At 50.5% G+C, this 21419-nt stretch overlaps 1 protein-coding gene across 5 annotated transcripts in view; it reads right to left on the bottom strand.

Moving 5' to 3' along the window:
* DGCR8 (DGCR8 microprocessor complex subunit) overlaps positions 1 to 21419 on the bottom strand; it is a 31632-nt gene that overhangs the window by 3770 nt on the left and 6443 nt on the right. For 3 of the 5 annotated variants that reach the window (NM_022720.7, XM_047441419.1, XM_047441418.1), the window contains exons 3-12: positions 20782 to 20941; positions 18292 to 18434; positions 17845 to 18127; positions 16471 to 16668; positions 16133 to 16234; positions 15196 to 15294; positions 13308 to 13390; positions 1826 to 1926; positions 1405 to 1511; positions 705 to 832 (exon numbers count right to left, since the gene is read on the bottom strand). In NM_022720.7, the coding sequence (NP_073557.3) occupies positions 705 to 832; positions 1405 to 1511; positions 1826 to 1926; positions 13308 to 13390; positions 15196 to 15294; positions 16133 to 16234; positions 16471 to 16668; positions 17845 to 18127; positions 18292 to 18434; positions 20782 to 20941 (1404 nt within the window). Of the gene's footprint in view, positions 1 to 704; positions 833 to 1404; positions 1512 to 1825; positions 1927 to 13307; positions 13391 to 15195; positions 15295 to 16132; positions 16235 to 16470; positions 16669 to 17844; positions 18128 to 18259; positions 18435 to 20781; positions 20942 to 21419 lie in introns of those variants that run through there. The other 2 variants (NM_001190326.2, XM_006724268.4) reach the window with 2 other exon arrangements.

Raw genomic sequence — 21419 nt, 5'->3', positions numbered from 1 at the left:
CCTAAAGGCAGGCCCTGCTCTTGGCAGCTGGCTTGGGCAGAGGGCCCACCCACCACACAGTCCTAGGGCTGCCCCACCTGCAGGCCTAACCCCTCCACAACTACTTCCCCTTCCAATGACCAGGAGGGCAAGAACCCAGAGAGTTTCTGTAATCATTTGAGGAAAATGATTACACTCACCTCCCCATGTTACCCTCCACCCCTCAGGAGTGGGCACTGGCTTACACTGCAGGATGTTGGCCACAACAGCAGAAACAAGACAGATGGTACACATATGCTCTTCTGTTAGAGATGGACCGGCACTGGTACCAGGGAGAGCTACCCTGACACACTCGCTCTCCTTCAAGCAGGGAGAGCTGGCCCTGGCTCCTGAGCCTTTGCACACCTCCGAGCCGGGCGCACCTTCAGCATCTCCTGCCTGGCCCTGCCTTGCACTTTGGCCATCTCCCTACAAGCCACATAGCTGGGCCCAGCCTGCGTTCCCAATCACCCACACTTCACTGACCATGCCCAGCAGGCTGGGATAGGAGATGTAGCTGGGACGACCCCACCCCTGCCCACAAAGCCACACAAGTGGCCCAGGAGAGAGGCAGCTGTGAGCAACAGCAGAGCTGCCCAGCTCTGCCCCCTCTGAGCACAGAGCCTCAGGAATACGCTCCAGGGTGGCAGCACAGGCTGCCCTGGGACCTGCTGATGGCCAGTTACCTGCTTGACCATCTTGCTGCTCTCACGGCCATACATGCGCAGTAAAGACCCCCAGTTCTTGACATGTGGGTGCAGCAGCTGAAGGATCTTCTGTGAGGCTAACTGCTTTCCAACTCTCTTGTTCTTACCTACACAGAGAAAGAGCAAGCATGGAGAGGGGGTCACAAACACCCAGTGCTCATGGGGCCCCCTGCCGCTCCCAGCCCTCCTGACCCACACCCCGAGGGCCAGCCAGGGCACATTCTACAGGAATAGGCAGCACTCTGCCACTGCTCTGGGCACCTGAGTCTCACAGTACCCAGCTGCCACCTTGAGAGAGTGGCCCTCAGAGTCTAGGAGCTGAGGACACTACCACTCAAAGCCACGCAGCCGAGAGCCTCCCTCCCGCCAAGACGCACACCTCCAGAAACAGGGAGCAGCAGGATTCTGCTGGCTGTTCGAGGAGGAGGGCCTTTCCTCCTGCCACAGGGACAAGGGCTGGACGGAGACAGGGGTGACAGCGGGGGAAAGGGAAAAGACAGGGAAAGTGCAGGCAGGACGGCTGCCAGTCCGCCTTAGGCTGAACGTGTGGTGGCCAGCACACACAGCTGGGCTCAGGGACAATGCCAGGGCAACAGCTGAGACCAAGCCACAGAGGCGCAGGGCCACACCAGGGGCCGCCCGCCCAGCGGCCACCAGGCAGCAGAGAAGGAGTCCTTACACCACCCGCGCACTGTGTGCTTGCCACACGCCATGACGTATTCACTCTTCTGGTTTTTCCCAGGAACCACTTCAAACTTGATAGACGTGTCACCCATCCCATGGTTTCTTTAAGAGAAAACAGACAACAGATGGCGTCCCCTGAGCAGAGCAGCCAGCTGCCTCTGAGGAGGCCTGCTCTGGGAAGCCCTTAGGAAATGACCAAGCCTCTCCCCAGACTGCATCTCAGCCAGAGGAGGGAATTCTCCACACGCCCGATTCAGGCCTGTGGGACTGACTGGTGGCCAGGGCCAAGGGGCTGCTGTGTACCCAGGGAAACCTGGCCATGCCTCTGCCTTGGGACAAACAGCCACAAGAATATGAGACGCCAGAGAGGAGCTCCCCCGACCTGACTCATGGGGGGAGGCACCCCCCTACCCTACCTTTTAAGGCACTCGTGGAGGATCTGATATGGAGACAACAGCCCAGCCTTGCTGGTCAGCTCGTAGACCCGCGAGTCCTCGATGCTGATGTGGTTAAAATACTACAACACAAAGCAGAGGCTTGTGAGTCCCCACCAGGCCCACCGGCCTCTTCATGGCTGGGCCTGCGGTTGGCTTTCCCCAGATGCTTAATGTCTGTTCTTGTGAGCTCGCCTAGCACTTCATACCTCAACTCTGCAAGGAACCCACCGGGTACAAGACATGCTCCGTACCTCACCGTCCAGTTGCCCATCTCCAGAGCCCACAGCACCCTTCCACCCTGAGCACTGTGGGATGGAGTCTGGTATCCTAAGAGGGCCCCAGGTACATGGCTGGCTGGCCAGGCCCACCTTATTTGGATCTGATTCTGATCCATAAGGCACCCTTCTCAGAACTCTATAAAGATAAAGCACCTTTGCAGAGAGGCTTTACTATTGCCACAACTGAGACTACAGGAGAGGGAAAGTCAGCCAGACCCAAAAGCTGGCCTTAAAAGGCCCAGCTCCCCAAAGGCCAAAGCCCCACACAGCTACACAGAGCCCAGCCCCAGGTGGCCAGCAGAGGCCCAGCCCAGCAAGGCTTCCAACAGTGTCATCACCCTGGCTCTGCAGCCAACCCAAGAACACACAGGAAGGACAAGAGAGGCAGACAGGGAAACAAGAGGTGATGGGGAGATTCCACACAGTGAGGCATAGGGAAGCTGCAGCAGGCTGAGGTGCAGAGACATTGCCCACTGTGCCTTCCCAGACTAGGACTTTGGCTGAAGCTGAGAGTGCCTCCTGGGTGAAAGGAAGATGCTATCCAGCCCACTCTGGAGCATGGACAACCTCCCTGGTGGAGCTCCTGTGACAACATACCACAAAGTCAGTGGCTTAGAACAAGAGGTTTATTCTCTCACCATTCTGAAGTCTGAAATCAAGGCCTCAGCAGGGCCATCCTCTTTCAGAAGCCTCTAGGGAGCCTCTGCCAGCTCCTGGTGGCCCCGGCATCCCTTGGCTATGGCAGCATTGCTCCGATTTTCATATGGACTACTAGCCCTGCCCCTCCTCCCTCTTCTTAGAGAAACACCAGACACACTGGATCACACCACTGCTCTGCTTCAGTGTGATCTCATGTTAACCTAATTCTATCTGCAATCATCCTCTTTCCAAAAAAGACCACACTTTGAAGCACTGGAGATTACCCATCAGCCACACCCTCACAGTGCTTCCCCCACTGGCCCTGTTCTGGAGGGGTCTGCAGGGACCTGGAGCCTGCCTGGCCCATGGGCAGCGAGGAAACCTAGAATCAAATGATTCACACGCCTCGCTGTGCAGGCTCCACAGTGTGCCAAGCCCGCTCCACAGGGACACTGGCCCTACAGACAGGGCAGTGGGCAGCTCCTCTGCCCTCGCCGCTCCAGCAAGCAGCAAGGCCAACTCGCTGCAACTGCATAGAAGAGGAAGGCACTAGCCCTGAGGTTGGCAAGCGAAAAATCCTCGAGGTATGGCTTGGCTACTGTCTTCAAATAGGTCCCCAGAAGACACTGCTCCTCTCAAGTGCACAAATCAACATGGGTCTTTTTCCAGGGAAGGTCACTCACCAAGACATCAGGCCCTGGAACCTCAAGGGTTTGTCAACCAGCCAACCAATTAGCAACGTCCAGTGCTGTCGGCCCACAAGAACCCACATACCCCACGGCTTCGGGACTGGCCCTGGAGAAGCTGAGGCAGTGGCTGACACACACACAGCTAGAGAGCACGCTCAGAAGTTTCTGGCAAAAGACCGACGCCAGCCGGGCGCGGTGGCTCACGCCTGTAATCCCAGCACTTTGGGAGGCCGAGGCGGGTGGATCACGAGGTCAGGAGATCGAGACCATCCTGGCTAACAAGGTGAAACCCCGTCTCTACTAAAAATACAAAAAAAAATTAGCCGGGCGCGGTGGCAGGCGCCTGTAGTCCCAGCTACTCGGGAGGCTGAGGCAGGAGAATGGCGTGAACCCGGGAAGCAGAGCTTGCAGTGAGCCAAGATTGCGCCACTGCAGTCCGCAGTCCGGCCTGGGCGACAGAGCGAGACTCCGTCTCAAAAAAAAAAAAAAAAAAGACCGACACCAGGATGCCCTGCACCAAGCTGCCTGAGGCCACATGTGCTACTGAGGGTTAACCCGCCAGGGACAGGTGGAGGCTCCAGCTCATGAGAGCAGACAGATGGCAGAAGTGACCTGCAGACAAATCCCTGTTGCTTCTGACAAACAGCACAGGAGAAACCTAAGCAATCAGTGCCTGGCAGATGCCAAAGGACCGTGTGGGAGCACCACAGACGCCCGACACCTCTACATTCCACTATCTATATGAGATGGACCAATGCCTGGCAAGACACAAACTATCTCAGTAGCCTCAACAGCCCTACACCTGTTCAAGAAACTCAACAGTAGTTCAGAGTAGTCATAGTTATAGTTAGTAGTTCATACAGTAGTAGTTTAAAACTTTCCCATTAGGAAAACTCCAGGCCCAAATTTTAAGGAAGAAATGATACCAATCCTATATCTGTCCTGCCCTTCTGAAAAACTCAGGAGGAGGGCTACTTCCCACTTCGCTTGATGACACTACCCGTACCATGACCTTAACACCAAGAACACAGATGCAGCAGGGAACTAGCAAATTAAAGCCATTAACACATGAAAAGGAACATATACCATGCCCAAGTAGGACTTATCCCAGGAACACATTTTTAAAAAAACAACGTAATTAACTACATTAACAAATTAGAGAAGAAAACTGGATAAGGAATCTACAGAAAAACTACTAGAATAAATCAGTGCAAATAAAACAAATTCTAGCTCTGTAAGCTAGCAATAAACAATCAATTGGAACTAAGGTACTATTCATCACAGTGCCATACATAAAATATTTAACTATAAATCTAGTAGAATATACACAGGGCCTGTGTGATGAAAACTGCCGACCACCCATGAAAGATATCAAAGAAGACCTAAATAAATGAACAGATGAACTATGTTTATGATTTGGAAAATCCAATATTGTTAGGATGTCCATTCTCCCCAGATTGATCTACAGGATCAATTCCAATCAAAATGCAGGCAGATTTTTTTTTTTTTTTTAAGATGGGGTTTCGCTCTTGTTGCCCAGGCTGGAGTGCAATGGCACAATCTCGGCTCACTGCCACCTCACCTTCCGCCTCCTGGGTTCAAGCGATTCTCCTGCCTCAGCCTCCTGAGTAGCTGGGATTACATGTGCCCGCCACCACGCCCACCTAATTTTTGTATTTAAGTAGAGATGGGGTTTCACCATGTTGGCCAGGCAGGTCTCGAACTCCTAACCTCAGGTAATCCACCCACCTCGGCCTCCCAAAGTGCTGGGATTACAGGCGTGAGCCACTGCACCCAGCCCAGAATTTTTTATAGAAACTGACATATTGTTTCTAAAGTCTACATGGAACAGCAAAGGAGCTAGAATAGCCAAAACAATTTTTTGAGAAAGAATAACGAAGTTGGAGGACTCCCAGTATCAAGACTTCAAGTCATCAGGAAAGTGTGGCATCAGGAAAAGGACACACAGCTCGAAAGACAGTAGACAGCCCCAAAACAGACACACTTCCACGGTCACCTAGTGACTGAGAAAGGTGTGAGGGCAATGCTAACATAAGCGTGCACCTGCCACACAGCCCAGCAACCCCATCCCAAGGGTTTACCTGAAGGAAACGAATCCGCCCATCACACACAGACCTGGACGACCTTACAGCAGCCTTACTGCCCATCACCAAAACCCAGAAACCTGTCAGTGTCCCTCAAGGAAGAATGGAGAGACGCACTGAGGGGCACAGCCACCTGGTGGCCAGCACTCAGGAGTACAAATGACCACACGACGGATGCGTCACACCACACCAAGCCAGAGGCCAGGTTCAAAGGCTACGTACCAGGTGACTCCACTAAGAGGACATTCAGGATCTGGCAAAACTACAGGGGCAGTTCAGTGCCCACCAGAGGATACAGGTGGGAGAGTTTGACCAACAAAGAAGAATGTTGGAATGTACAGAAATGTTCTGCATCTTGATTGCAGTGTTGGTTACATGACTGTGTATTTGTCAAAACTCACAGTACTGTACCAAAAAGTGAATTTAACTCTATGTAAATTTTAAAATAAGATGAAAAAAAAAAAAGAAAACACTTGGTCACTAATACCTAAATTTAATAGCCATGAACCACCAACCCACAGCTAGCAACAAAATACCAAGAGATCACCACAAGCTTTGTGAAAAGGAAATGATGCCAGTTGTTCCTTTTTTCCCTTTTTAATCAAGTAGCATACACGCGTGGCCACCACACCTCACAGGCATCAACCCGCCCCTCCTGACATGTCAACCCCACCTCCGGAGTCCACACAAGGAGGGGATACTACCCCACGCCCCAGGCTGTCCAGGGGACAGTCCAAGGACAGGTGTTGGCACCTCTGCACAGGCAGCTGGGAGGAGCAGGGGGCGGGGACACAACCTGAGAGCCTCGCTAGGGAGGACCAGCAAATAGAAACTTCCCAGGAACAGGAGATGGCCACCCCTGTCTAAACACCCCCACCACCCTACAACGGAGGGAAAAGCTACTTTCCCCTCTGACAGATTTTTAAATGGGGACATCACAGATGACATATATACATTTTTTTTTTTTTGAGACATATTCTCGCTCCGTCGCCCAGGCTGGAGTGCAGTGGCGCAATCTCAGCTCGCTGCAAGCTCCGCCTCCTGGGTTCACGCCATTCTCCTGCCTCAGCCTCCCGAGTAGCTGGGACTGCAGGCGCCCACCACCATGCCCGGCTAATTTTTTGTATGTTTTTAGTAGAGACGGGGTTTCACCGTGTTAGCCAGGATGGTCTCGATGTCCTTACCTCGTAATCTGCCCGCCTCGGCCTCCCAAAGTGCTGGGATTACAGGCGTGAGCCACCGCGCCCAGCCCACAGATGACATATATACAAATAAGAGGGTCAAAGAGCTTCTCAGGAGGGGCACATACAAAAGGCACCCTAAACCAAGGCATGGCATCATAAAAACACACGGTCTTCTCTCAGGTTCCCAGAACAGAGTTCTTAAAACCCTGAGGATTTCCTGAGTGCTAGGTTTGTCTTTTGTGATTCAAAACGACCCCACCACAGAGCTTATGCTGAGGAGGTGGCCAGGGTGGGCTCCCCGGAGAAATCAAATGTGTCAGTAGAGGGGAGGAACTTTCAGCCCTTCATGAAAAATAAGTTTCATAAGTAAAATTTTTCCTGAGTTCCTGAGTCCTAGCAAATTTCCAAGCACGAGGAGGGGTCCTGTGCCGGGTGGCAGGGGCCCCCATTTGCGGCTGGCACAGGAAGTGGGGGCAGTCCCACGAAACTGAGCTCCTTACCTGGGGAGATATGACGCTAGCTCCAGACAGGCTGCAGTGTGGGAGGATCGGAGTAGGGGTGTGGAAAAAGCCCCAGGCAGGGGAGTCTACAGCGGAAGCCACCACATGCCCCACCCCCATGTCCTTCTCCACCTGGGGAAACCTCTTCTTTCTCAGACTACTTTGCAATGTGGTTTCTGCAAAGCCTCTCCACTTCACAGAAGAACCCCAGAGTGGAGGCTGAGAACCTGACTCCCCGCTGGGCCCTCTCCTGGCACCAGAAACCACAGTGGTTCATGGACATTTCCACCACCCCATAGCAAAGAACAGGCAGGGCTTTTACTCAGACAGGAAGGCAGCGTGAGACCTACACAACTCAGGCACCATCGTCTGCAGCAACCCATACTAAGAGTTTTGGTGGGCCAGGGTCTACGCAAGCACTTCCCCAGAGGGCCTTGGAAGCCTCCCTGGGAGCCATATTTCCCACGGTTGGGTCACTCAGAAATAAAATCAAATGTGGCCAGGTGCAGTGGCTCACGCCTATAATCCCAGCACTTTGGGAGGCCAAGACGGACGGATCACGAGGTCAAGAGATAGAGACCATCCTGGCCAACACGGTGAAACCCCATCTCTACTAAAAATACAAAAATTAGCCGGGCGTGGTGGCGTGCACCTGTAGTCCCAACTACTCAGGAGGCTGAGGCAGAAGAATCGCTTGAACCCAGGAGGCGGAGGTTGCAGTAAGCAGAGATCGAACCACTGCACTCCAGCCTGGCAACAGAGCGAGACTCCATCTCAAAAAAAAAGGGACAAATGTGACTCTTCCTGGAACAGCTAGTACTTGGAGACTGTGCTTGATCCACATGTGGTCTGCAATCTGTCTGTAGCCTGTCCACGATGAAGCAGTTACATAAAGCACAGAAAACATGTAGAAACTTGAGAGCAAGAGACTAGGTGTGGTGGCTCACGCCTGTAATCCCATCATCCTGGGAGGCTGAGGCAGGAGGACTGCTTGAAGCCAGGAGTTCAAGAAACTTAAGAGCAAGTTAGTACTACCATAGACACTTAACCATATTTTATAACAGCACCAGTCCACAAAGATGAGAAAACTTTACAAAACCCATCCTAAAGTAGTTCTGGAATGGCCGAATAAGGACCTCCAAAATCTGCTCTCCTCCATTAAAGCAACAAGAACACTAGCAAAAATGGTCAGAATTAATTCTTTCAGAACCCTGGAAACTAAAGAAAGGCTTTCAACAATCTGAGGAGTGTTGATTCAAGAAAGACAACGAGTCTTGCTAAGAACAAGGAGTTGCTGGCATCTTAACTCGCCCCATTCCCAGCCCTTCTCCCCAGCTCAGTGGTAGCCACTCAATGGAGAACGGGTCCTCAAGGCCCCAGGCCCAGAGAACTGTCACTGTTGGGTTTACCTGGCCACCCTCTGGAAAAGCCTCATGGCAGGATTTGTCTTTATTTGATCTCACTCAGTGAAAACAGCCCAGTTCCTGAGGGCTTTTGTCAAAAGGAACCAGTGGCAACTGTTTCACCCTGCAGCTGCCAGAGGCTGGGGCACTAGTTGGGCAAACAAGAGGCTGGCCAAGAACCCAAGAAGGAAAAGCTGGAGATGTCCATGGGGCTCTGAAAGGCTCTAGCGTATGTCTGGAGATGACTGCGCACAGGCCCAGGAAAACCTCCCAGCTGACTGACCTGGAGACTCTGTGCAGGTGGCACACAAAGGCTAAGACAGTTGGCAGCCACCGGAGCACACCAGGTGAGCCCCACAGACCCACAGCTCTCATCACAGGCCGGGAGACTTACTGGCTCAGGGAATTTACGAAAATCCCTGTCCAAGCATCAGGAGACCACTCAGCTAAAGGGCCCGTGTATTCAGTGGCCACAAATCATAAAGAATACACACTTCACAGAATCAATCTAGGAAAGTCACTATTATGAGGTAAACTGTCACCCCCAAATTTACATGTTGAAGTCCCTCAGAATGCAACAGTATTTGGAGACAAGGTCTTTACAGAGGTCATCACATTACAATGAGGTCATTAGGGTAGGGCCTAATCCAGTGAGACAGGTGTCTCTATCAAATGGGCAATGTGGAGACCAGCATGCACACAGAGAGAAAGGCATGGACATGGAGATCGCTATCCTCCACCCACGGAGAAAGGCCTTCTCTTAGCCTTCTGACACCTTCATTTTGGACTTCTGGCTTCCAGAACTTTGAGACTATACATCTCTGTCATTTAAGCCTCCCAGTCTGTGACACTTTGTTACAGTATCCCTAGCAAACTGATACAGTCACAAATAGAGAGCAAGGACATATGACAAAAACTATAAACTTAAGGGAGGTGAGGTAATGTGATTTCCAGAGTTGCCATATATTTTAAATGTCCAATTCTTGACAATAACAAAAAATTCTGAGATATGCAAAGAAATAGGAAAGTAGAGACAGCCCATACATGAAGGGAAAGGCAGTTTAATATACACGCTCTCTGAGAACTGGACTTACCAGAAACAGATTTTACATCACCTACAGAAAACATACTCAAAGGACTAAGAAACCATGTCTAAAGAACTGAAGTATAATGCCAGCACAGTGGCACGTCTGTCATCTCAACAATTTGGGAGGCTGAGGTGGGCAGATTGCTTGAGCCTAGGAGTTCGAGACCAGCCTGAGCAATATGGTGAAACCCCATCTCTACCCCATATATATATATATTTTTTTTCTTTTTCCTTTTTTTTTTTTTGAGACAGGAGTCTCGCTCTGTCACCAGGCTGGAGCACAGTGGCGCAGTATCAGCTCACTGCAACCTCCACCTCCTGGGTTCAAGTGGTTCTTCTGCCTCAGCCTCCCGGGTAGCTGCAATTACAGGTGCCCACCACCACACCCAGCTAATTTTTGTATTTTTAGTAGAGACGGGGTTTCACCATGTTGGCCAGGATGGTCTCGATCTCTTGACCTTGTGATCTGCCCGCCTTGGCCTCCCAAAGTGCTGGGATTACAGGTGTGAGCCACCATGCCTGACCCTATATATATAATTAAAAAAAAAAAAAAAAAGAATTAAAGTATAAAAACAATGCATTACCCAATAAAGAATTTTTTTAAAAAAGACAGAAATTATGAAACAGTCACTAGAGGGGTTTACCAGCAGAATGTGAGCCAACAGAAGATAAAGGAGCAAACTTGAAGACAGGGCAATTGAAATAATCCACACTGAGGAACAGAAAGAAAAAAGTACAGAGAAGAAACAACAGAGCCTCAGAGACCTGTGATGTATCATCAAGTGTAACAATTTACTGATCAAGAAAAAGAAGAAAGCCTCAAATTACTGAAATCAGGAATGACAGCAAGGGACCATCACAACCATATAGAAATAAAAAAGGGTCATATGGGGATACTAGGAACAAATATATGCTAATCAATTAGATAATCTACATCAAATGGGAAAAAAATTCCAAAAAAGACACAAACTATCAACACTGGCTCAAGAAGAAATAGATAATCTCAATAGACCTATAACATGTAAGATTGAATTAGCAATTAAGTAGCTCTGGACAAAGAAAAGCCTGGGACCAGAAGGTTTCACTGAACGCAGTCTACAAAACATTTAAAAAATGAACACCAATCCTTCACAAACTATTCCACACAACAGAAGAAAATGGAACATGTTCCAACCATTTTATGAGGCCAGTATTATCCTGATACCTGTACCTGCTGTTACACTGGACAAAGATATCACAAGAAAACTACAGATCAATATTGCTTATAACTACAAATGCAAAAATCCTTAACAAAATACCAGCAAAATGAATCCAGCAACATATTAAAAAAATCATTATATGTCATGACCAAGTGGGATATATCCCAGGAATGCAAGGTTGGCTCACCATTCAAAAACCAATATAATACACTATATTACTAAAATAAAAGACAAAAAAAAACATGATCATCTGAATAGAAGCAGAAAAACATTTGACAAAATCTAACATCATTCCTACAAAAACTCTCAGCAAACCAGGAACAAAAGGAAATTTCCTTATTCTGATAAAAACCTACAGCTGACATAGCACACTAAGTGAAGGAAGCCAGTCACAAAAGACCACATATTGTATGATTCCGCTAATATGAAATGTCCAGAGTTGGCAGATATATAGAGACAGAAAGCAGATTAGTGGCTTTTGGTGGTTGGAGAGAACTAAGAGGGAATGCTAATGGGTATGGAGTTTCTTTTGGGGGTGTTGAGATACTCTAAAATTAGGTAGTTATGATGGTTATACAACTCTGAATATATAAAAATCCACTTATATAGTTTAAAAGGCCAAATTTATAGTATGTAAACTATCTCAATAAAGCTATTATATAAATAAGAATGCACCCTTCAAAATTCCACAAGCCCTTGCTACAAATAACCATTTACCCAAAAAGGTTTACAGCTAGTTTTAAATGGTTCTTCACATGGCTGACCCTTGAACAACATGGATTTGAACTCCATGGGCCCACTTATACAAAAATTTTCTTCTGCCTCTGCCACCCCTGAGATACCAAGGCCAACTCTTCTTCTTCCCCCTCCTCCTCAGCTATTCGACATGAAGATGTGGAGGATGAAGACCTTCATGATGATGTTTCCATTTCAAGAACAGTAAATAAATTTTCTCTTCCTTATGATTTTCTTAATAACATTCTTTTTGTAACTTACTTTAATGTAAGAATACAGTATATATCAGGGGTCCCCAACCCCCAGGCCATGGACTGGTACCAATCCATGGCCTGTTAGGAACCGGGCTGCATAGCAGGACATGAGTGGTGGGGGCAGGGGGAGTAAGTGAGCAAGTGAAGCTTAATCTGTATTTACAGCTGCTCCCCATCACTCATTTTACACCTGAGCTCTGTCTCCTGTCAGATCAGCAGTAGCATTAGATTCTCATAGGAGTGTGAACCCTATTGTGAACAGTGCATTCAAGGGATCTAGGTTGTGTACTCCTTATGCAAATCTAATGCCTGATGATCTGTCACTGTCTCCCATCGTCATCAGAGGGAACCATCTAGTTGCAAGAAAACAAGCTCAGGGCTCCCACTGGTTTTATATTATGGTGAGTTGTATAGTGATTACATTACATATTACAGTGTAGTGATAATAGAAATAAAAAGTGCACAATAAATGTGATGTGCTTGAGTCATCCTGAAACCATCCCCGCCCCCCAACACCGTCTGTGGAAAAATTGTCTTCCCTGAAACTGATCTCTGGTGCCAAAACTAGGTTGGGGACAGATGTAGTAATATGTACATAACAAAATATGTATTAATCAATTGTTTGTTACTGGTACGGCTTCTGGTCAAGAGTAGGTTACCAGTAAGTAGTTAAGGTTTGGGAGGACTGAAAGTGATGCGTGAATTTTCGACCACGTGAGAGGCTGGTGCCCCTAACTTCCACGTTACTCAAGGGTCAAGTATATAAAGAACAATCTAGGGCCGGGCGCAGTGGCTAATGCCTGTAATCCCAGCACTTTAGGAGGCGGAAGCGAGTGGATCACCCGAGGTCAGGAGTTCGAGACCAGCCTGGCCAACATGGTGAAACCCCATCTCTACTAAAAATACAAAAATTAGCCAGAAATGGTGGCACACACCTGTAATCCCAGCTACTCAGGAAGCTGAGGTGGGAGAATCACTTGAATCCGGGAGGTGAAAGTTGCAGTGGGTCAAGATCAAACTCTGTCACTGCCTGGGTGACAGAGCAAGACTTTGTCTCAAAAAAAAGAACAATCTAAATCTTGTAGACTGCCTCAAAGATTCATTCCCATCACAAACCTATGTGTACCCGACATTTACGGTGCACACTCAATGCTGCAAAAGAGGACAAAAATCTCTAACAAAAAGGACATTTTTTCCCTGCCTATACAAAGACAGGCAAGTTTCCTCTTTATGAAATACAAACAGAAGAACCTGGAGGCTGGATGAGACTAACCTACAGGGCATGGAAGGCATGAGCACAGCCCACGGACACCCCCAGCTCACACTAACAGGGCAGGGTAGCCGCACTGCACACACAGCTCCCAGCAGGGCAGGACCACAACACTCACCTCGAGTTCTTCACTGTCTTTGGGCTTCTCTTCAGAGGTCTGTTTAACAAAGTCAGGGATGAGGATTTCCAGTGTAGCTCGGGCTATGAAAAAAAAGAGCCCGAGGGTGAGGCTTGGGCACTGCCCTCTTCTCACCACCCTGCAGAGTGAACTGTGCACTGCTGCCTCCCATCCCCACAGCTCAGAGGCTGAGCGAGGGCCCTGAGGAGAGACAGCACTTCAGTGACAGGGTCAGGAGAGGACAGAAGGAAAAGCCCAGACGTGTGGCAGGCTACCAGAAAGCCTCACGGGCCACACTGGGTGTGTGCGCTCTCACCCTGGGGTCCTGGGAGCAGGCAGGGAGGAGCTCGGAGCTGTATGTTAGGGAACCACTTCGGTGGCACGTGAGAAAACAGCTTTGCGGGCCCTGGACCATGCAGGGAGGCCTGAGAGCAGGCTACTGCAGGTACCTAGACCAGGTGGCAGCAGCAGTGGCTGGCGTGGGTGGAGAGATGCAGCCAGGTCTGAGAGACGCTAGAGGGAGCTGCTAGAGGGCAGGGCACGGATATGCCCACTGGGGTCGGAGTTGCCATAGCCAAGGGCTGATGGCTCCATAGACCCCACAGAGCTATCAGTGCTGGCAAGACATGGAGCCAAGCTGTCTATAGGGCAGCCAAGAGTCTGGGCAAGGGAAGTGGGTTCCAGCACATAGGGAGGAAAGCGGGTGATCCCGCAGAGGGAAGAGCACACAGCCACGCCCAAGGCATCTCCACCCCCACAAAAGGCCCCACTGCAAGTTATCTGTCAAAACCTCCACCACACCCCCTTTGTTGAGCTGCAAAAGTCTCTTAGGCAGAATCTAAGATGGGCAGCAGGCCTTCTGGAAAACACACGGCAATGACAGATACCTCGAGAATCAACCTGTGGGTGCGAGGGCCTGGGGTACACCCAACACCACCCTACAAGAAGCCAACTAACCCTGGACGCTGAGGCAAATGGCTTTTTGTGAAAGAATGTCAACTACCACGAATGCAGGGCATGAATGCAAACGGCAAGGGCATGGTCCAAAAGGGCAGTGGGTCTTCGCCAGGACACACAGCCTTCCCAGAGCTGCGCTGTGCCAGGTGTTCTGTGTGGCTAGGCCCAAACATGGAGTGGGAGGACTCAGGAAATAGTGCCGGTAAGAGCCAGCACCACTGGGGGAGGATGCCAACAGCATGCTGGCCCGCTTCTCCTCCCTCCTGGCATGCCCACATGCTGCTCAGTTTAAAAACAAACAAGCACTACAGCATGTGCCCAGCACAGCCCAGTTGGCTCTAGGCACACCCCTGAATATGTGCAGGGCCAGGACTAGGGAGGGACATACTGGCCCAGCTGTCACTCAGTAGAGAGGCCTTCTACTTTTTTTTTTTTAGACAGAGTCTTGCACTGTCGCCCAGGCTGGAGTGCAGTGGCACGATCTCAGCTCACTGCAAGCTCTGCCTCGCTTGTTCACGCCATTCTCCTGCCTCAGCCTCCCGAGTAGCTGAGACTACAGGTGCCCGCCACCACACCCGGCTAATTTTTTGTATTTTTAGTAGAGAGAGGGTTTCACCGTGTTAGCCAGGATGGTCTCGATCTCCTGACCTCGTGATCTGCCCACTTCAGCCTCCCAAAGTGCTGGGATTACAGGCATGAGACACCACGCCCGGCCGAGGCCTTCTACTTTTAAGTCTCACATTTTGCTCTATTTGAGTCTTTTCCAATGAGCATGTAATTTTAAAAATCAAAGTAGATGATTACATAAATAAAATAAACATGCCCCACCCACATCCCCCACTTGTCACCACTGCTCAGCCCCTCCCTAACCAAGCAGCGAGGCAGACACAGCAGGCAGCACGTATCTTTGACACCCAAGCAAGCACGTTACCAGCTTTATTCTTCGCAAGTTTTTTGCTGCTTGCAGTTCCAGATCCGTAAGTCACACCATCAATGGTCACCGAGGCACCAAAAGGCTCACTTGGGTTCTCTTAAAATTAAAATTACTTGTTTTAAAACATACGAGTCAAGACATCAAAAGCGTGTGCACAGTCTGCCCACACCGACAGACAAGGCGCAGTCAGGGGCTGTCCCTGCAGAGAGTGGGCCTGTGCTTGACTGCAGAGACCTGGGGCTCCCTGGGACTGGAGACGGGCAGCAGACAAGCAGCAGCAAAGGGCACAGCTGGGAAAGTGGAGGGAAATGAGGCACGTGGGAGATGGTGAGCCAGAGGGGCAGCAGGAGGCTGGGGGCAGAGCCTCCTACGACAGGGACCAAGGTCTACGAAAGACGGACACAGGACTGCCGGAATGGGAAAGCACAAGATGTGGCTTGCCAAAGAAACACCACCTCAAAGGATGAGTGACCCCCAGGCTCCAGCTTCCAAGGGGAAGACAGACTGGTCTTCACAAAGGTGTGATGAGGGCACCCAAGGAAGACAGAGCTGGTGGGAAATGCATGCCCAAGAACCCTTCAGACACCCAGGGGCACCAGGAGACCAGGGAAAGGACCCAGTGCACAGTGGGGAGGCCTTGCTCGCAATAAGGCTGTCCATGACAACGCAGGATCAGAAACCAGCAAGGCAGATGGGGCAGGACAAGAGGAAGGTGGGGAGAGGGGACAGACTGGAAGGGAAAAGCAGAGCCACCCACTCAGATGGGGCGCGGCTCCAGGAAACAAGCCACCCATCTGCAGCACGCTGCTCTCTACCCTTCCCTTTCCTCCCGTTCCAGTAGAGTAGGGCTAGCGGTCAGCGCCTGCCTCCCCAGCCCTGACCAAAGTTACACCTTGTGATTCTTTAGGACTGAAATGGGGAAGGTTAGACTTACCACATTCAAAGAAATTATAGACAGGGCGGACCTTGAGGACACGCTGCATGTACTCGTGCAGGATGCAGACCTCGGATTTCCCGTTGGGGTTAATAACAAACTCTGTGACAAAAAGAACCATCTCAGCAAGTGTGAAGCAGTGCCACAAGCTAGCACACAGCTTCCTGTTACCATGTCAGTAACTAGGGGCTCACGACCGTGAATGTGGCAGACCCCTGCATTCATGGGATAAACATAAACTTTGAACGAAATGCAACTCATAAAACATGCCCTCAACACATCACATTAGAAATAACAGCATAACCAGTCTGCTGATGTTAAAATGCAGAGGCTTATACCTTTCTTTGTGGGTGCATCTTGCACTGATAAAGTAATGAGCTTCTGATTGGCTGGCAAGATGGGCCTCTCGGACTCCGCCTGCTTCCGCTTCATTTCCCGATTGAATTGCCGCCGCTCAGCCCAAGTCCTGAATTTTTTCACAGTAACTTGCTCAAAGTCAAAACGCTTCTCCAGGTAGCTTCGAAATTCCTCGAGATCTGTCCCAGATTTACCAGAGAAACAAATTACTTAACTTCCAACATAGGAGTCAGGTTCTCACAGCCCAGTGCATGGGGCAGGCCCAGGCCACATGACACTATTTCCTTTCCCCGTCCCTTTCAAAGGGGAGGGAAGCAAAGAATGAAGGCCTCCCTACACCAGCTCAGATTATTCTGGCAGGTCCCTTCTGGATGAATTTCTGAGATGTTCTTTTACTTTATTTGGGGCAGGAAGAATACAAAAATGAAAAGGAAAAAAGACAGCTTAAAAAAGTCAGATGGCCTTCGGGACTTCCTCCCTGTATCAAAACAGGTGCCCGAATGCCAGCAGCACCCGGGCTCCATGCGCCCGCCACCTCTCTGACCACCTCACTCTTTTCCTTCTGGCCATCCTGGCCACCTCTGTAGTCAGCAACACACCCAGGCAGCTCCCTGCACAGGGCCTCGCATTTGTCACATTTCCTCCCGGGCCACTTCCCCATCCTCAGCAACAGCCCCCATCACAGGCTCTTCTAGGGCACCCCACACTCCACGGAGTTATGAGACAGGCTGGGTAGTGATGTACAGACAAATAGAAACCTAGAAAATGGAAAGTGCTCTTTGAAAGTAATCCAGCAGGTGGGTTCACAGAGACCTGCCACACCTGAAGAGAGAACTAAGACTTAAATGGCGGGACTAGGCTAAAAGACATGGAAGAGAGAATGGGAAACACCAGTACACATCCAGCAAGCAATTGCAGGATTGAAGAGGGAACTATCCACAGAATGGTGACAGTTTCCCAACACTGAGTCATGGATTAAAGAGGCTCACTGAGCTCATCAAGACAAATCAAAACAATGCCACATGAGCACATCCTACTGAAAAAGCAAGACTTAGGGAAAGATCATACAAACAACCAGAGAGAAAACGGCCCACTGCCAGTGCCAGCAGCCATCTCCCCAGCAGCCTCAGCCATGCAGACACCACAGAGCCCACAGACAGGAGCCTAGGGTGCTGCACCCAGGCAGGTTCTTGCAAGGACAGGAAGACAAGCCTTTCAGCCACACCAACAGTGGAGGTGCACAGCCCCTTGCTCACAAGTACAACTAGGAACTATGAACAATTATGGCCTTCATTAGAAAAACAAAGCTCATGGGTCCCAGGAGGCAAGAAGGGAAGAGTCCTTCAAAAACTCACCAACGGATTCATCTTTGCACACCTCGACTTTGGCCTTCACCTGCCCCAGGGCCCCAGGGGCTGCCTCAGCCCCTAGTGGGTCTTTCTCGTCCGGGGGCCCCGGGTCAGCACCCATAGAGTCAGGCTCATCCAGGGGAAACTCCAGCTCTGCAGATCGGCTCAGGGGCTTGACGGGGGACACATCCCCACTAGGGGTGAGGTCACTGCTTTGCTCCCGTTCCTCGTTGTCCTTCATTTTCTTATAATGCAGACAAGGGATGCTACTCAGAGGAGGGTCGTGTTTCTGTGGATAGTGAAATTGCAATATGGATTACAAGGACAACCCGAGAGTCTGAAACTCTGATGCCTTTCACCGGCCTCTGCTTGGCTGCGGTGCCATGTGTGTGGATGTGCACGTTTTGGTCTGAGAACTTACAAGCCTAAAGTCACGACTGATGCCTCCCCTACCCGTATGCTTCCCGTTCCCAAGAAGTATGGCCTGGACCAGGTGACCACCCGAGACTCTCTGTGTAGGTACACCGGGACTCCAGAGTTATGGAATGTCATGATCCACCCGTCGGGCAGCGGCTCTGTAGGTGGGCGGCCACGACCTGCACAGGAAGACAAGAACATCCTATAATCACTGTAAAAACACTTGGAATTGTTGCCACAGCACCTCCTGCACAAGAAATTGTTGGGTACTAGCATGTGTTTAACTGGGTCTTCACAGATAATCGAAATTCCTCTCTGCCTTGCTCACTGCTATGCCTCCAGGCCTAGGACAGATAGCATGTGGCCTGAGGTGGGAATTTACACGTGTCAAACCAGCACATGAAGGAGCACAGAACAGGTCTGTGCAAGATATAAGTCCCAGCCTCAGCTCCTGCCTCCACATCTGGTAAGCACTGTGGACACTGGACTCCTTTGCTGCCTGTCTGGTTGTGGCCAGAGGCGCCTTGGGGCTGGATGAGCTTTGCTAATAAACTGCATGGCTGTCAGCCACTGCTCCCAGTGACCAGGTGACAAGTCTTTATTGTAACTGAGCTGCACTCTCAGCAGCATACAAAACACTGCTTCAAATGATTCCGTTTCTAAGTTGGTTTAATACACTACTCCCAACCCCTTCTTTGCTTTATAGGCAGTTGTGAGGAAGAGGTTTACGACTTATCAACTTGACACCTGCCACCAGGCCTGACTGCTGGGAAGAGCGTAAGGCAAAGATGTAACTAAAACTTAATTTTCTCACAGGTATTGGGAACAAGTTAAAAACTTAGAAAGACCAGCCTAGGCAACACAGCAAGACCCTGACTCTACAAAAAACTTTTTAAAATTATCCAGGCATGGTGGCATACACCTATAGTCCTGGCTACTTGGGAAGCTGAGGTGGGAGGATCACTTGAGCCTGGGAGGCTGAGGCTGTAGTGAGCTACTCCAACCTGGGTAACAGCAAGACCCCGCCTCAAAAAAAAAATTAAAAAACAGAAGAAAGCAAATGAAACCTTAAAAAATATACATAAGGGGAAAAAGGGCCAGTGACTCTCAGGGCTAGGTACCCACCAAGTGGCCCTGACCCTGGACCTGACACCTGTACCCAGGCCACCATCAGGTGATGATTCAGGGAGGGAGTGTTAAAGGTCAGGGGTGCATGCACACTGCGTGGGCTCTCTCCCCACAGAGTCAGGCCAAGATGGAGCTGCCTCCTGCCAGCTTTAGGTTAAGTCAGGAAAAGAAGCAAAGGGAATACGGAGCCAAGCAAGAGACGGGCCACGGGTCCGCTGGGGCTGCTCCTCTGTGACAGTGAGTGGTCACAAAGTTGGCCCAGCCACCTGAGGTGGGGGTCACATGCAGCTGTCCGTCTGTGAACATCCAGGCATCCAGGCCAGAATGGCTGCTGACCAGTGAGCTGTGCAGGACGAATGTGGGTTTACCTTCTGAATGAGCCTGTTGAAAATGCAGCACCAAACCAGCCTCCTAGAGGCCCCGAGGTCAAGACTCCTGCCCCCAGCCCCAGAAGCTGAAGCCCCAGGTTTACCCTGCCTGCAACCGTCTAGACCAAAAGCCCTCCTGCTTAACTGCTACCAACACGACATAGGCAGCAACATGTGGCACCTGGCATAGCTAACTTGTCCCCTCAATGGCCCAAGGAGGATGGCCATGTGCCACCCGCCCCTTGCTTTGCTCCCAGTCGCACCCTGCCACCTTGTGCACCCCAGCCCTCAGCCTGGGGTCTCACCTGTGAGCCTGAGTCCCCGTGCATCTCTTCAGTCCCTCTACCGAGCCCCACATCTCCACCAGGACCCTCATAGGTGCCTCCAAGCCACCAACTCCGACTCCCCCAACACCTGCACCACATCGATGACAGAGCCTCACAGTGCAACTCTGGGCGCCTCTCAAGTGCTCTCCCCACTACCCTCAACTCAAAGTTGAGGAAGTGCCACGTCGACCAGGGCACTTCCACCCTGCCCAGCTGAAGTGCACACACCATGCTGTGGCCCAGAAGCCATGTTGTTAAACAAAAATCAGGTAACACCACTTGCTTCTGGTGGCTTCCTGTGACACTTGGTCCAGGACTAGAACCTGGATCACAACTATCACCTGCCATCTCACTGTGTACCCACCTTGCCCTTGGTCTCCACACCCTCCAGCTGATGGTCATGCTGGCTCCTGGCATATACCAACATCCCCTCCTGACCCCCTCAGAAGTCCCCTCCCATTCCTCTGCACAGTGCCTGCTGCTCTGTGGTTTCCATAGCACACACCAGGATCCGCATCTGGGTCATGCATCAGGACGTCCTCCCATCCTGTGTTTCCCTCCTCAGATATTTCTGTCCTGTCCTCAAACATGCCTCCACCCAGCCCACTACCTGGCACCAGAGCTCTCTCAAAGCATTTCTGCTAAGGAAGCAACCACCCCTCCACTGCCCTGGAACACCCACTGCTTCTGACCCACACACGTACTTTTGAGCACTGTTTTAATCTTGGTCATCATCGGCTGCACACTTGTCTCTCCATCGGACGGATGGTCGCTGTCTCCGCCATATTTTTCCTCTGTTCGCCTCTTTTTGGGGGCACAAAGGCCTTCTTCCAGCAGAGCATCCACATCGTTGTCAAAGTCATCCTGCAAAACACGCTGTTCAGACACCAGAGCCCCTGGCGCTCATGCTCCTGCAACAGGAGAGCTCAACAGCATTCCTGAGAACAGACACAGAAAGGAGGTGCTCTCAGGGGGCCTAGATGTGCCCTTAGGGTGCATGATCATCTGAAAAACAAACAGGATGAAGCTACCAGCTGACACCAACACACCTGGTCCAGGGGCACACACTGCCAAGGAGCGTAACTCAGCAGCACCTGCTGCCCCACGCGCTAGATCAGGGATGCAGGGCCTACCCATGGGCCAAACTTTTCATTAGGAAACTTTAAAAATCTGGACTCCTTACATCTTTCTCTTCTCCACATTAACATTATTCCACCTCAGAGGGGATTTTGGTTTTTGTTTTTTTTTTTTTTAATTTCCCTGCTTTCAAAAGATGCTGCAATTCCCAAATCTCTCTTTGGGTTTTGCTAAGAGCCCTCTAGAGGAGGGGCTGCCAACATAC

This window comes from Homo sapiens, chromosome 22, assembly GCF_000001405.40.
Source record: "Homo sapiens chromosome 22, GRCh38.p14 Primary Assembly".
Classification (NCBI taxonomy): domain Eukaryota; kingdom Metazoa; phylum Chordata; class Mammalia; order Primates; family Hominidae; genus Homo; species Homo sapiens.
The sequence above is the reverse complement of the archived record's forward strand: the minus strand, read 5'-3'. Positions and strand labels throughout refer to the sequence as shown.